General features: G+C 48.0%; 1 annotated feature.

Moving 5' to 3' along the window:
- Positions 15,133 to 15,735: an enhancer, noted in NCBI's record as "H3K27ac-H3K4me1 hESC enhancer chr22:27828998-27829600 (GRCh37/hg19 assembly coordinates)". NCBI's record gives its function as "activates a minimal SCP1, AML or CMV promoter by ChIP-STARR-seq in naive H9 embryonic stem cells {active_cell/tissue: H9 hESC(naive)}" and the evidence as "EXISTENCE:reporter gene assay evidence [ECO:0000049][PMID:30033119]".

A 16,536-nucleotide genomic window follows, 5' to 3' on the forward strand; every position in this document is an offset into this window, starting at 1 on the left:
TGCAGAGGGAACTACCTCAGTTCCCGGTTCACTCCACATGGCTGTGGGCCAGTGGGCGGGCCTCTCTGGGGCTTCTTTCACCTGTAAAGTGGGGATGACATGTAAGTCAGCAAATGCGCTCCTAAAAGCAGCGTCAGGACACAGCAAGCTTGCATTGAAATTCTAGCCCCGCCATACATCTGCTACATGATGTCTTCTCTCTAGGCCTCAGTTTCCCCTTCTGCAGAATGGGAACAACGAAGCAAGTGTAAGGATCCCATGACATTCCTTGTGCAATGTGGAGCATTGTGCTTGGCACAGAGTGAGTGCTCCATAAACATGAGGGATTGTGGCTGTTGATGTCAAGACTGGCGTTTACCTTAGGCCTGAGGTGGACCCTCTCTCCTAGTAGAAATTCTCGTCCAATAATTGCATGGGAATCATCCAAAAAGTAGGACTCGGGCTTGCCGTGTGTCTATACTAGGCATCCCCAACTCCTCAGTCTCCTGGAATTCAGTGGGAATGCCAAGCTCTGGGCTCTCCCCACTCAACTCTGTCCAAAATATCTTCCACGTGGGGAGGAGGCCATGGACAGGTGGATAGGGAAGGACTCATCAAGCCCGAGGGTGCCTGCGTGTATGTGGTGTTTACTTATTCACTTACACACACTCATTCACATTTTCATTGCGGGATCCCTATGGGCAATGTAAGAGGCAATAGGGAGCCAGTGAATGCTTGTGAGAAGAGGAGGGCTGAGTTTAGTCTGGCTTTGCAAACTTGCTGAATATATGAATGAATGAATGAATGAATGAATGAATGAACAAGGCAAATCTTTTTACTCCAACCCAGTGCTGGGATTCAGACAGGTTACTTGGGGACCTTAGTCCAGACCCCCTTGATCCTACAGAGAAAGGTTCAGGGCCTCAGCTAGGAACACCCTCACTCCCTGACTCTACCTACCCAATGCTGCAGGGCTGGCTGACTCCTTCCCAAGCCCACTAGCACCCCTTCATAGCTGGGCACCTTCACAAGCATCAGTGCTGTCCCTGGGGCCACCAAGAAAGTCAAGGCCTCCTCCCAGAGCTTACTGTCTAGAGCTTTGCCAGCACAAGCTACTAAGCTTCTTTGCCCCATCACTCTGATTGGGGGCAAACTGTGGCCCATTCCATAGATTAGAAATGGTGGGATCAATTCCAGGGCCTATATGGAAGCTTCTAACTCAGACCCATGAGGCTGGGCATCTTCAAAAGAAGAAGCTACACATTACTCATATTTTACAGCTTCTTGCCCACCCCACCTCTATGCCTGGGCAGGACACACCCTGCTGTAAATTGATCCATGTTGGTAATAATAATAATAATAATATGAGCTAGGAAACCAAGCAGTTCTTACCTGCTCCATGCACTTTACATGTATTCCTTCATTTAACCCTTGCAAACTTAGCATAGTGGCTGGCACACAGTAAAAGCTCAATAAATGTTTGCTGAATATATGAATGAATGAATCAATGAACAAGGCGAGTCTCTTTACTCTGGCCCAGTGCTGGGATTCAGACAGACCCGGGCTCAAATTCTTGCACTGCCACTTACCAATCGGTTCCCTTGGTCAAGTCACTTCCCTTCTTGGAGATTTTAGTTTTCCTGTCGATAAAGTAGGCGTGATGATATCTTCCTATCAGGTTGATGTGAGATTTCAATGAAGCTCCGCATACAAAATGCTTGCATGACACCTAGGGTGGCCCAGAGTAGAAACAAAAGGTTTTTGTTATTGCTATTGTTGTGGATGATGTCATTGTCTCCATCTGTCCACTCGGCTTGCAGTTATGGGTCAGGAATTCAGAGACCAGAGGTCACACATTGGTGATCTGGAGACCTTGTCCAGCTCCCAGATGTATTTTGTTTGGCTAATACAGCACTTCATTGATTTTTTTAAAAAAATCTAATTAGTTGCCAATATTTAGAGATGGGGAGATTTCGCGTAAAATACACTTTGGGGTCTCTCTTGGAATTTCAGATGTTTGGACCACATGAGAATTATATTCACCCAGAGCAGCTGGGCTTTGCTAGAGCTGAGAAGAACCCACTCCCTTATTTATTTATTTAGTTATTTATTTATTATTTTTTGAGACAGAGTCTCACTCTGTTACCCAGGCTGGAGTGCAGTGGCATAATCTTGGCTCACTGCAACTTCCACCTCCTGGGTTCAAGCAATTCTCCTGCCTCAGCTTCCAGAGTAGCTGGGATTACTGTCGTGTGACACCACACCCGGCTAATATTTGTATTTTTAGTAGAGATGGGTTTCACTATGTTGCCCAAGCTGGTCTTGAACTCTTGGACTCAAGTGATCCTCCTGCCTTAGCCTCCCAAAGTGCTGAAATTACAGGCACCCGCCCCTTTAGAAAGGGTATGAGCTCCCATTCTGCCCCAGTCCCCGCCGCTCCCTGTTGCCTCACTCTTGGCCAGCTCCATTCATTTACGTAGTTTGCCTACCACTGGAGTATTTTCCATCTGGAAGCCCTGCTCTAGATTTTCTCTTCCATGAGATCCACCAAGAAAGCTCCAAGTCACAGTTAGCCAAATGGAGTTAAACAAGAAGAAGAAAAACACACACCTCACAGTGATGGTGTGGCCACTTCTCCCAATTTCACAGCCTGGGCCCAGAATGGAGTCGGCACATCCCCTTCAAAGCTCCATCATTCTGAGGATGCTGAATGCCACTTTCCCACCCATGCCCACTGGGGAAGCCCACAGAAAGCCCCCTAAATAGCCCTGATCCCTCCAGGAAAGGGGAGGGCACACCGAGAAAATGGCTCCCATCTGACCAGCCTGGGCACAGCTTCTTGACTCTAATTGGGGATGTGGTAATTAGATGATGGCAAAGTACACCCCAGGCTCAGCTTTCAGCCCCAGGTCCCACCAACAGGCCATCCCACTTGGAAAGTTTGCCTGACATTCCTGAGCCGGGCCGCCTTGCCAAAGAAAACTCAAGCGAGGCTTGTCTTGGCATGGACTCAACCCCTAGCCTCAGCAGGAAAACCAAAAACATTTACACAGCTGGGCCTGCGACGCCCGCTTCCCTCAAGAGTTTGTCAGGGCTTGGATGGCTCGGTAGACTCGGGGGGCACTTCTGAAGGGGACTGTGTTCCCGAGCACGGCCAGGCATCGCCAGCCAGACAGAAAACACCACGGCCACCCCCGGGAGGTGGGAAAGAAGACGCAAGAAAACACGCTCTGGGGAGCCGGAGAGGGGCTACCTGGGGACTGGGTTTTCATCTATTCGTTGATCACTGCACGCCTCCCCCCTCCAGCTGCAACCACATCTGCACGGGTCGTCCTGGCCAGCTCACCACCCGACCTGTGCGTGTTGGCCAAAAAACAATCCAAAGAAGCTGCTTATGGCACGCGGAGCGCCTGGGGCCCCATGCTGACAGCTCTAAAGGACCGCCTCTTCACCGCTCTCTCTTTGCACTCAACTTCCCCATCTCTTTTCCTGGCCGCCTTTCCATGGCATTCTCCGAAGCTCTTCACATTCTCTGTCCTGGGGGCACCCCAATGAGGCCCATTTGGCCTCCTGGTTCTGAATGTCAGGGACTATGAACAGGAAGTCCTGGAGCCAGTGGTTCAAAGCCAGGAGCTCAAACACATTGGTGAACACACTGGGGGTTGCCAAATTATCTGCTAAGTCCCTCGTGAATCCCTCTGGTCCCTCCATCCCAGTGGTCCCCACTGCAGTCCAGGCCACCATCGGTGCAGTGGTGACTGCAGCAGCCTCCTCTCAAACCCTCCCACCTCCACTCCTGCCCTCAGAGTCCATTCTCTGAGCTAAGGATAGCACAACCTTTATTATTCTCTCAATTATAAAACATTTAAAAACTACAGCAAAATGCAGAAAATATGACTTTGCATAATTGAATGATTCACTATCAAGCAAATACCCATGTAACCACCAGCCAGCGCAAGAAACAACCTAAAGCACTTTCTCTTTTTTCTTTTTCTTTTTTCTTTTTTTTTTTTTTTTGAGGCGGGGTCTCGCTCTCTTGCCCAGGCTGGAGTGTAGTGGCACGATCTCTGCTCACTGCAAACTCCAGCTCCCAGGTTCAAGCAATTCTCCTGCCTCAGCCTCCCAAGTAGCTGAGATTACAGGCGTCCACCACCATGCCCAGCTAATTTTTGTATTTTTAGTAGGGAAGTGGTTTCACCATGTTGGTCAGGCTGGTCTCAAACTCCTGACCTCAAGTGATCTGCCTGCCTCAGCCTCCCAAAGTGCTGGGATTACAGGCGTGAGCCACCGCGCCCAGCCAGAAGCACTTTCTTGACTCTCTTCGATTCTACTCCCTCCCTCCCCACAATATTTCATGACTATCCTGACTTTTGTGGTCATGATTTCCTTGCGTTTTCTTCAGACCTAAAAACAACATAGTTTAGCCTTGTCTGTTTTGGGGTTTTATGTAAAGGGAATAGTCATAGTAATCATATTATTATTATTTTGTGTCTGGTTTCTTCTTTCCAATATTATACAGTGAGATTTCTCCATGTTATTGCACAGAGCTATAGTCTATTCATTTTCACTGCTGTATAATATTCTTTTGTGTGAACATACCAGAGTTTTAAAATCTGTTTTACTGTTGATGTGGTTTGGGTCATTTCCAGCTGGGAGATGTTGTAAAACTAGAAATAGTCTTAGCCCAAGTACCTGGCACATAGCAGGGTTTACAGTCACAAACAGGTTCCAGAGTCAAGCACAAGTTCAAACAAAGCTGTATTACACAAAACTAAAATGGTTTGTTTTCTTGCAAGACTTGTCAAAGCCTTTAATGCTTTAAGGTGTCAATGTGCATTATGACACTCCACAAGCATCACCTCTGTGCTAGCTAGGCCCAGGTGATGCAAAGGTAAATAAATCTGCCTTAGGGAGTAAGTAGTGTGGATGGAAAGTATTGGCCTTAAAATCTGGTCATGGTTTTTTACCTCTTCCTGACTTGCTGTGCAGCTTGGATAAGTTTCTTGCCATCTCTGGGCTTCTGTCTGCTCATCTGCAAAGTGTAAGTTTAGAAATTGTTACTCCCTAAGAGCTTTCCCCTCTGACATTTCAATACCCATGGACCAGTATTTTAATTGGCCAGAAAGATTCTAGAGGACGGGATGCCTGGATCTTGAGGATTTGGATGAGTTGGGTGTCAGGGGGAGAACAGCATGACAAAATGAGTCTGGACTGCCTAGAGGTCATTTAGGGGGAAGTAAGGAGAGCAGCAAGGCCAAAATGGAGTGCTCATCCAGGGAATATAAGAGAGAAATGATTACAAAGATCAGCTCATCTCATTGCCAACCCACTTTCCATCCCTACTGCATCATGAGAACCATCAGAGACAGGCAGAGACTTTATAACCTAGAGCCTGGATTCTCCACAGGGGTGAAGTTTTCCCCTTGGAGGGCACAAAGTCTTACAGACATACATACAGTGCATAAACAGATATCCAATATATCTGTGCTATTAAAATTTCATTGGTGGGGGCAGGGAGTGAGTAGGGAAAAATGTCTGAAAGAGTTACTTAGGGGCCAATAAAAAAAAAAAAAAAAAGAAGTGAAGAAAAAAAGGTGAAGGTGATCTATAGGTTGCCTATTCAAATGCACATAGGGGCCAGGCAGGAAACTTTGAAAGTAGATGGTATAGGAGGCAATAAGGAGTGGTGGGGACTGTGGCAAACTGGCATGCCCAGACTATATATATTATAGCCATTTTTTTTAAAGAGTCATTTTGTTCAGGCCAAACAAAACACATCTGCAAGTTGGATCAGGCCTGCCATCCACCATTTTCAACTCCAGATTTAAATGAAGAATCCAGTCCAGTCCCAGCTTCCATGACCAATGCAAACGCAGCACTCATTCTGGCCCAATGCTCATGGGCTGCTGCCATGTGAGGTGCCCCTGCTCACACACACACACACACACACACACACACATATCCTCCCCACGACAGGACCAGCAGCCTTGTTCCACAGCATGCACACATGCATATTATGGGGATTAATGCTGTGTGATGCATAATTAATGATGCTGAATAAACATGCAGATTGGCAATCACCGATTGACTGCCATGATCAGATTCCTGAACAAGGGCTAATTGATTGGCTGCCTGTAATCATCATATTCAACACTATTTTCTTCAGCACATGTGCAAACAGATCCTTGTGAAAGGGGCCTATGGCCCTGTCTGTTTCAAAAGACACAGACCCTATGTTGGAAACTTTGATCATTGCTCCAAGCAAGGAGGCTTTGGCTCCTGGGCTCTTTTTCACCAGTGAGCACCAATGATGTACCACAATGGGCCAGGTATTTTACAGTCATCGAGGGAAGTGTAATTATCACCATTTTGCAAATGTACACAGAATCAGGGTGCCACGGCTATCAGAAGGGGGAGCCAGGACTCCAAACCAGTCTGTTGATTCCAAAATCCACCCTCTTTCTTTTTCCAAATAGTTTCTGACCTCCTAAAGTTGATGGCACAGCAGAGGAGAAAAGCAATTTATTTACTCATCAGTTCATCCCAGACACTGGCAATACAACAGTGAATCAAACCAGCTGCCTCCCTGGTGACAGCTATGTTCTGGTACAGATTGCATTTTGAGAGTCCCAGAGATGGTATCTCTCCATGAGTGCCTCATAGAGGAGGTGATGTCAGAGCAGGGTTTTGAGGAATGGAAAGCATCTGCAAAGGAGATTATGAGAGAAGCTCATGGCAAAGACAAGAGCAGCAGCAAATGTGGAGGTGGGAAAATAAAAGGTGTTGCCTGAGGAGAAACAAATGAGCCTATTGGGGGTCTTGTGGGGAGACCCCCACAAGACTTATCTATCTTCTAGGAAGATAAATATGTATAAGGAAAAGAGCTCAGGGCCATCTGGTGGGATCTCTGAATACCAGGATTGAAGGGAATGGAATGGGGTAAGACTGGGACCTGAGTCCTCCAGAACAGAGCAGATGCTGAGTGTCAGGGACTTCCTTGGGTCTCTGCTGACTTCTGCTCCATATTTATTTCCTCCTCCCACCAAGCGCACCTAGATGTTTTCTCTGGGGGAACATCTCTTCCTCATTTTCACCTGTGTGGCTTAGGTGGGATTGGCCCCACCCTTCCCAAAGAGTAGGACCTGCTACTTGATCAACTTTTCTCATTCTCCTGGATGCAGAGATTGATACGAGATCATGGAACCCAATCAGGCCCATGACATGAAAAGAGATTGTGCAGAGACATCAGAAGACATGGTTCTCTCTTAAGTGAGGGTTACCAGAGGGTCATCCATGACCTTTCAGATGGGACAGAATGAGGATATGAGGCCTGATGAGGCCACATCCATTATCATGAAGGGAGCCTCTGGCTCAAACTATACCTGAAGGCTATTTTACACTGGGGCTTTTCAGTTATAGAAACCAATAAATTCCTTTTTGTTTGTTTGTTTGTTTAAGCCACTTTGAGCTGGGTTTTTTGTTTGTTTTTTACAACCAAAGACTCCTAACAGATATAGGGAGATTTTACTTTTTAGTTCCTTTTGGAGAAATGTATTTAATTAAAGGTCAAAGCACAAAAGACCTTGGAGTTCTCTCCATTGTTGAGAGGAGGAGAGGGTGGCGCACAGTTTGGTCATCTCAGCAAGATCTTTTGGTTCTTGTTTTGTCATTTGCCACTCCTTCTCCTGCCCTCTCCAACATCTTCCTTCCCTTCTCCATCGTCTTCCTCCCCCTGCACATCATTACCAAGGCTCTGCTCCTCTTTTTCCAACCACCCCTGGAGGACCTGCTCATAGCAAATGACCAGGGCTTCGGTCACTTACACCCTACTGATGAAAAGTCATATTACATTTTGCAGTTGAAAGGGCTTCACAGTCATTCTCTCATCTACTGTAAATTACATGTGGTAAAAGTATAAAATGAGCTTGGGACAAGGCCCACCCCATGGCAATCCTTGGATACATGCTTATAGCCAGCCTGACCAACATGGTGAATGTTAAAACGTGGTAAAAATACAAAACTAGCTGGGTGTGATCGCAAATGCCTGCAGTCCCAGCTACTCGGGAGGCAGAAGCAGGAGAATCGCTTGAGCTTGGGAGGTGGAGGTTGCAGTGAGTCAAGATCAAGCCACTCCACTCCAGCCTGGGTGATGAGTGAGACTCCGTCTCAAAAAAAAAAAAAAAAAAGTTCAAGAGATCGATTGATTGTACCACAAGGTGACTATGGTTAATAACAATGTAGTATATTCTTGAAAATTGCTAGAGCAGATTTTTTTCTTTTTAAGACAGGGTTTTGCTCTGTTACTCAGGGTGGAGTGCACTGGTGTGATCTCAGCTCACTGCAGCCTCAACTTCCCAGGCTCAAGTAATTCCTCCCACCTCAGCCTCCCAAAGAGCTGAGACTACAGACTTGCACCACTATGCCCAGCTAACTTTTTCTACTTTTTGTAGAGCTGGGGTCCCACTATGTTGCCTAGGCAGGTCTCAAACTCCTAGGCTCAAGCAATCTGTCCTCCTTAGCCTCCCAAAGTGCTGGGATGACAGGTGTGAGCCACTGTGCCCGGCTGCTAGAGTAGATTTTAAGTGTTCTCACCACAAAATGTTAATAGCTGTATGACATAAAGCATATGTTAATTAGTTTGATTTAGCCATCCCACAATGCATACCTATTTCAAAACAATACACTGTGCATCATATGCAATTTTTATTTGTCAGTACAAAATAATAAAGCAAAGTGAGGTAATGAACATACATGCTCTAAAAGTTGGCAGGACTTGCCAGTGCCTTTACTATGTTCATGTACATTGACCATCCAGACTGAAGAAATACATGTGGCATTTCCCAAACTTATTTGTCCACAGAACCACTTAGTGTTCTGGGGAACACGGTTTGGGAAAGAGTGGTTTGGGATGGTCCCTGATGATTTCTTTGGTACGTTACAGGCTTTCCCACTTGCCAAGTGGTAGCCTCTCAGCAAGATGCATCCCTTTGCTGGACCTCAGTTTCCTCCTCTGCAAAGTAGAGAAGAAACCCAATATAAACATAGCTGGCAGCGCCCAGGTGAGGATGAGAAGTGCCCAAAAGCATGAGTCCTGAAGGAAATATGTGAATTCTAGGCCTGATCCCTCTTCCCTACCCCTGCCCATCTTGGAAATATATAATGACAGCTAAAAGCAAAGTCACCAAAAACATCTGATGAGAGACTGGGCTTGAGGGTTCCTGCCATCCACTGCTGTCTCTAAATATCTGTAGAATCTCCACATTTCAATAACTCACTTGATATCTTCACAGGGAAAGAGTCAGAGAGAGGACTCACAGCCACGGGCTAACAGTTACTATCACTTGTGGTGTTGACAACAAATGATCTCCCCACTTTGTGTTTCCTTATTTCCATTTTTTTAAATTATTCTACAATAATAAACATAAATAAATTGTAAATTTGTACCATGATTTAAACAGTGCTTTGGGACCTAGCCTGCCCTGGGTTCTGATTCTGGGGTAAACAGAACAGTCCTTTCCCTCTTAGCAGCCATTTTCTCACCTCTTAAATAAGAATGATACTCACTGTCATCTTTTGCTGTGTGATAAGCTATCTCAAAGCTTCGTGGTTTTAAAAAAAAATCAGTCTTGCTCACAACATTGTGAGTTCAGGGACTTGGGAAGGGCTCAGCTGGGCAGTTCATTTCTGACCTATGAGATATCTGCCGGGGCAAAATGAATTGGGGAATCCGCTTCCAAAATGCCTTCTTCACTCACTCACACATCTGGCACTTCAGGGTTCCTGGTCTGTCTGTCTGCCTCTCTCTCTCTCTGTCTCTCTCTCTCTCTCTCTCTTTCTCTTTCTCTCTTTCCCTCTTTCTCTCTCCTCACTCCCACAGGCATCTCATCCTCCAGGCCTTCTTCATGTGACTTGGGCTTCCTTACAACATGGCAGCTCAGAACACATAGAGCAAGAGCTCCATGAGAGCTGGGTGAAAGCCGTAAGGCTTCTGATGACCTGGCCTCAAAAGTTCTAGAACATCATTTTCGCCACTTTTTATTGGTCAAAGCAAGTTGCAAGGTTAACCCAGATTCAAAAAGAGGCATATTTCTCCCACTCTTAATGGTAGGAATGGCAAAGAATCGGCAGTCATTTTTAATCCACCACACCCACCTACCCTCCTGAAGATTCTTATGAGAACTGGATTTCAGATGTCTATGAAGGGCTTAGCTCCACGCCTGCCATCTGAGATTCTGAAAATGTGAATCTAATCAGATCGCCACCACACCTAGCTTTGATCATCTAATTCTCTGACATCTTCACCAAAATTGCCAAGTTTCTGTGAGGTTGCACCTCTGCATCTCTCTGACTGCCCCACCCACCACTCCCTCCCTTCCCATCATTCAGTGTTCCAGCCTTCTGGCCCCTTTCCCCTCTTAAACATACCACCGTTCCTCCTGCCCCAGGGCCTTTGCCCACGCAATGTTTTCTGCCTAAGATGCTCTTCTGCCCACCTCCTCTGAGCTGATTAACCACACCTCATACTTTTGATCTTCTGCCCAAAGCGTTGTCTCTTCCAGGAAGTCCATCCTGATTGCCTAACAGGTTGGTTCCCTTGCTATGTATTCTCTCTATTAAGCCCAGTGGCTCGCCATGAGAGTGAGGAGTACAGCTTATAATCACACAATCATTTGGGTTATTATTGAATTACAATGCTGTCTCCCCATGAGACTGGGGATGTCTTGTTTCCTGCCATCGCCCCTCCTGCCCAGCACAGAGCATGGCACCAGGACCCCATAAATGCTTGTTGATGGGATGACAGGAAGGAAAGACAGTCCATGCAGGAGGCCTTACCATCATTATTCTGCTGTCACCTACACTGTCCCCATCAACAGCAGTCTCAGGAACACAACAGTCTCTGCCCTCCCTTCTACCATCACTTGGGGGTCCCACTTGAGCATTCTCGATCCTCTGTGCCCCAGACAGCTCTGCCAACACTCATGCCCAATACATGCCTTCTCCTTTGGGGACGTCTGCCTGCCGTGAAATAGCAAAGACCACAGACCCCTGGGTGGAAACTGCTTCCTTTCTGCAGAGACAGCTGCTGAACAGAGCCCTGCACTGTGAGAGCCTGTGAAATCAGAAAGAGACTCTTTGGTCTGTCCTATGACTCCTCATAGTTTCAGGGCCTCTCCACCTTCCCTGGCCCTGACCCCAAGAGCCAGGATCCTTTTTGAAGAAGACCTTGTTTAGGCAGCAAGCAGGCATGCACTCTGTCCCACCTGAGGAGATACACTGAACACAGAACACATGCCCTTACACCGAAAGCTCCTTTTGTTGCACTCAGGAATTTGTTCATGGCTGCAGCTACCATTGAAAGGGCACCTGCTATCTTCCAGGCACCTCCTGATCACCCCATGAAGTGAGTACTGTAGTTAAACCAATGTTACAGATGAGGAAACTGAGGCCCAGAGAGGGGAGGTAACTTGCTCAAGGTCATATGGTTTGCAGATGGTGAAAAACAGAAGATGAGTTCAGTTCTGTTGGGCCGGCTTCTCCACCCATATGATTATGGCCTTTAGGGGTCCTGGAGAATTGAAGGGAACTGACCTAGAGTCACTATGAGAGGGAGGAAGGGAATAATAATGACAGGAAAAGCAGCATCCCCAAAATGCATCCCTGTGCATGCACATCCACACATACTCCTACAAACATGCACGCTCCACACAGACTTACACACACTTACATGCTTATGTTCACACATTCGCCTTCACATGCAAACACACTCACACCCGCTCACATGCTTAGCCACATGTTCACACGTTCACATACAATCCCACACTCACACTTGCGTACACGCCCACGTGTTCACACTCGCATGCTCACACATACTCAAATGTTGAGACTCATGCATACCTATGTGGCTACCAGAAGCATCCCCTGCCCAGGTCGGAAGCCTCACATTGGCCGGAAGTGTGGTGCCTGGTGCAGGACACAGCCCCTGGAGAAGGTCTTGGCTGCAACAGCTGACTCCAGCGCTGGACAGACACGTGCTCCAGGAAGCCAGGAGGATGCCCTCCCAGCCCTTCCACTGCAGTATCTGGGTAACAGGAACGTGTAGACTGAATCTCTGGGTCAGGTCCTCCAAGGAGGCAGAATAGGTTAGTGATCAGATCCCAGGCTTGAGAGTCGGTTGGCCCCAGGTTCAGTTCTGGCTCCCCTACCTTTTGGGGCAAGGTCCTTATACCCACTTGACCTCAGCATCTTCACCTGTAAAATGGTAATAACCAAACCATCCACCAAGAGGATCTGAGTCTAAATGAGATGAGTCCTCTCAAGTATTTGGCTAGAGCAAAGTTGGTTAGAGCAAAGCTCTAACACGTAGAGCTCTTATGTGTTATTGTTCATCGCGATTCTTTGTATGATTATTTCGGCAGATGGTTGTTGTTATTTCGCAGTGCGTGATGCCAGAGATGAGGCAGAGAGTTGCTCCTCAAAGCAAGCTTTGGCATGGCTAGGAAATGAAAGGGGAAGAAGCTGGTGTCACCAGAAAACACAGAGATTGGGGCTATTTAGCAACGGGGCCAAAAAGCGGCCTTGGGAACCCTTTGGCGTCCCCCAGGAGCCACGCCACATCACCAAGGAGAGGTCACATCTGTTCATTCCACTTCCTCAGCTGAGACCCAGGGTCAGGTCTCAGAAAAGATAGAAAAGACAGAGCCATCCTACCCCAAGAAGTGATTCTAGTTTGGTTCTAACAGGTTGCAGTGTAGAAATAAACAGAAACGTTGCCAAGAGTCTCTTGACGCCTCGGACGATTTCCTTGGGTTGTCCTTCAACTATGTTGAATAGGAAGAGGACGAAAGACACAATTAAAGCAACGTATGATTTGCCATAAATAATAAATCAATAGCCATCGGTGATTCGCCCATCTCTCTTCAACTGGGTTTAAAACAAAAAATTAAATATAGAACAAAGGAAACTATAAAGGAAATACAAGAAGCAGCGGGAGAGAGATTTTCCTGCTGTTTCTTGCCTTTAAAAAAAAAAATACCTTCCAAGGGAATCGGTCTTGGCTGAGGAGGAGGGCTGGGTGGCTCCGTGGGGGGTCGTCATACCAGCAAGCCGCCTGACTAAACACTCCCCCGCCGAACCACAGATCTTGTGCTGCACAAAAAAGAATGAAACCCACCCAGAGTGGGGCTGGGGGCTGCATGGGGAAGAGCTGAAGTCTGAGAATCTTGGACTGGACTTCGAACTCTGCCCTTTCACTGGCTGGTGACCTCACCTCAGGCATTGCTGCACTTCCAAGCTCTTCATTTGCAAAATGAGGGACCAGCTCTGTATCCCCTGGTTGGGGGCGGGGGGCGCGCAGAGGGGGCTGTCGGGAGGATGGAATGAGATAGACCAGAAGGCTCTGGAACCTTGGAGATAACAAGGGAGCTCATTCAGGTCAAATGCCATTCTGGAATGAAAATGTGTCACCAGTTTTGTTCAAAGCAGGGCCTGCAACAACAACATGTCCCTGATTGAATTCCACAGAGCTTTCCCTGGAGGGAGAGGCCCTGTGGCTCATGCCAGCTCCTACAACCATGCACAGCGCACACTGGTGCCGGGATTTGCCTGCTGACCCATAAAGGGTTAACCTGCCAACCTGACTAGCTGTGTTCTTGCAACTTGTATTTTTTTGAGTATGTACTATGTTCACGCCAGAGGGGGCCTCCACTGACACCCTGAGCTCTGAGGTCTTCTCTCCCACAAGAAGGCAGAGGAGGGTTGGGAGGTAAAGAGAAATGGAGAGGGTCCCCCAGGTATCCAACATCGTTCTCAGCCTCTGGCCTGGTGGTCAGTGGCCTTCCCTCCCATTGCTCCAGAGACCGTCCATTGTCAACCACCTCAAATCCATGAGCGTTACACATTTCTCCACTTGCTGGTTTGTCAACCCCTCATGGGCCTCTATTCTTTCCCTTCTCTGTATCCCCAACCTTGACCGTTGGCAAGGAAGGGCACCCAGTGCCCTTCCTCTCTGACTCTAGGATCAGCCAAGTGACTTGCTTTGTCAACGGGATGTTAGCAAACGTGAGGCAAGTGGAAGTATCAAAAGCACTGTGTGATTGGGCTCACTCTCACTTTTGTACCTCTGCCAAGGCCATGAGGACATACTCGAGCTAGTCTGCTGGAGGATGAGACATGTGAGGCTGAGCCCAGTCATCCCAGCCATGCCAGATGAAGCCAGTCTAGATCAGCCAGCTGCCAACCAGGACTTGTAAACCCAGCCAAGATCAGCCAAGCCCAGCCCAGAGCTGCCCAGCCCAGCAAGCCTGGCAGAGACGCTGAACCTCATGAATACATGAGCTAAATATATGTCCAAGGTTGAATCCACTGAGTGTCAGTGGCTGTTTGTTATGCAGCATTATTGTGGTCATAGGTAACTGATACACTTGCCAGCTCCTGAGCCTTGATATATGCCCAGTTAAACTCACTTTCTTTGCCTCCAAGCTGCCCACTGAGACACCATCACTCTTCCCACTGGGCACCAGAAGCTGTGCCATAAATTTCACCCCTAAGCATCTCTGAATTTGGACTCCTCTTACCTGACCATCAGTCAGGCTCCTGTGCCTGGATTACTGCCACAGCCACCACCTGTGAACTAGTCTCCCCCATCTAGTATTGTCCCTGCCAACTTCTTACCAATTCAGCCCCCAGGAAGAATTTTCTAAATGTGTATCTACTTAAGACCATCCACCACCAGCCAGAAATGCACTCCATCCTGGCTCACCTCCCCAAATGTCTACTCATATTTTACTCCTTTGGGGGTCCTTCACTCCAGCACATGGAACTACCACACTCTTTTCTGCAAACATCATCCTGTTTCATGACTCTGTGCCTTTGCATACACTGTTCCCACTACCAAAGATGCTCTTCCCTGCTTCTTCTATCTTGGCAATTTCTTTCTTTTTTCTTTTTCTTTTGTTGTTGTTGTTTTTGTTGTTGTTTTTAAGAGACAGGGTCTCACTCTGTCACCCAAACAGGAGTGCAGTGATGCCATCATAGCTCACTGTGCCCTCAAACACCAGGGCTCAATTGATCCTCCCACCTCATCTTCCTGAATAGCTGGTACTACAGGCATGCACCACCACATCTGACTAATTTTAAAAATTTTTGTAGAGATAGGGGTCTCACTATATTGTCCAGGCTGGTCTTGAACTGCTGGCCTCAAGTGATCCTCCCACCTCGGCCTCCCAAAGCACTGGAATTACTGATGTGAGCCACCTCATTTAGCCCATCTTGGTAACTTCTATAAAAAAAACTCCTTCATAAACAACTGCAGGTGTCACCCTCTTCAGGAAATTGCAAGCTGTCCCAAGGACGAAATGCAGCAGCCCAGGTAAGAACTTCTTATCTGTGGGACATAATTCACCTTCTTCCTGCAACTGTCAGAAAGCTTGGAGTGAGATTTTGAGCTTTGACCTCCACCAGTCTGCTGTGGGGGACACACAGCCATTGGACACACTGGACTGGTTTTAAATCCCCACTTGTCCTCTCCCTGGCTGGGACTTCAGCTCTCTGGGCCTCAGTGTTCTTAGCAGTCCCAAGTTCCTGGTGGAATGTTAGAGCTGAGGACCCACACAGCCATGCAGGCAACACAAGATCTCACGGGGTCATCCCTGACCCCACTGTGCACAGGGGAATGCTGAGGCTTCAAGAGGCCGAATGGCATGCCCAAGGCCACGTAACTTTAGTGCTGGCAGGCCTGGAGTTGGAGGTACACCCCCAGGGCTGAGCGGTCTCAGAGGTTCCCACCACCATCTTCCCTTCCCCTACCTCGCTCTCTCCTCCTCCCAAGACCCATTTGATCACTCTCCTCCTGTTTCATTCCAGCAGTGGCCCTGACCTCTGTCCCAGGGGCCAGCATTAGATTACAGATAAAGCTCAGCCAGGCAGGCAGGAGAGCCCCTCCCCCACCCATGACCTCTGCCAACAGATGAGTGGGGTGGGGGAGAGGCAGAGGCGAGGTTGCAGAGCAGAGGGAGGAGATAAGACCATTCAAGCAAACTGGGGTGGTGGGACAAGAGTTGGGAGCCCAGGGCACCCCTGGGAGCTGGGAGAGACTATGAGTCACAAATGGGAAAACAGGTTTGTCCCGCATCCCACGACTCTCAGTGACTAGTGTGGGAACAGAACTCCTGATCCAGTGCTCCTCCAAGTGGCGAGAACGAGCCCCACCTGACCTCAGATGGAGCTCTTCCTTTCCCAGAGCCCTGGGCAGGCAAGGGGTTTGTTTATCCTCTCTACAACCCAGAGAGGTGGGTAACAGCGACACGCCTGGACCTATTTTACAGATGGAGCAACTGAGGCCCTGAGTGTTGCACTGCCACACCCAACATCTTGCAGAGAGACCGTAGAGGAGCTGGGATAAACCCCAGCCCACTGCCTCCACTTCAGCGTAGACATGGATGTTCCTAGATCCTAAAGTGGAGAGGGTGGGGAGTGGCAGGGCTGGAAGGCACTAATGTTTTTGGCACCTACTATGTGCTGGTGCCTGGATTCGAAGGTATGTGGGACAGGTGTGGCCCC

This window comes from Homo sapiens, chromosome 22, assembly GCF_000001405.40.
Source record: "Homo sapiens chromosome 22, GRCh38.p14 Primary Assembly".
In the NCBI taxonomy this organism is placed as follows: Eukaryota; Metazoa; Chordata; class Mammalia; order Primates; family Hominidae; genus Homo; species Homo sapiens.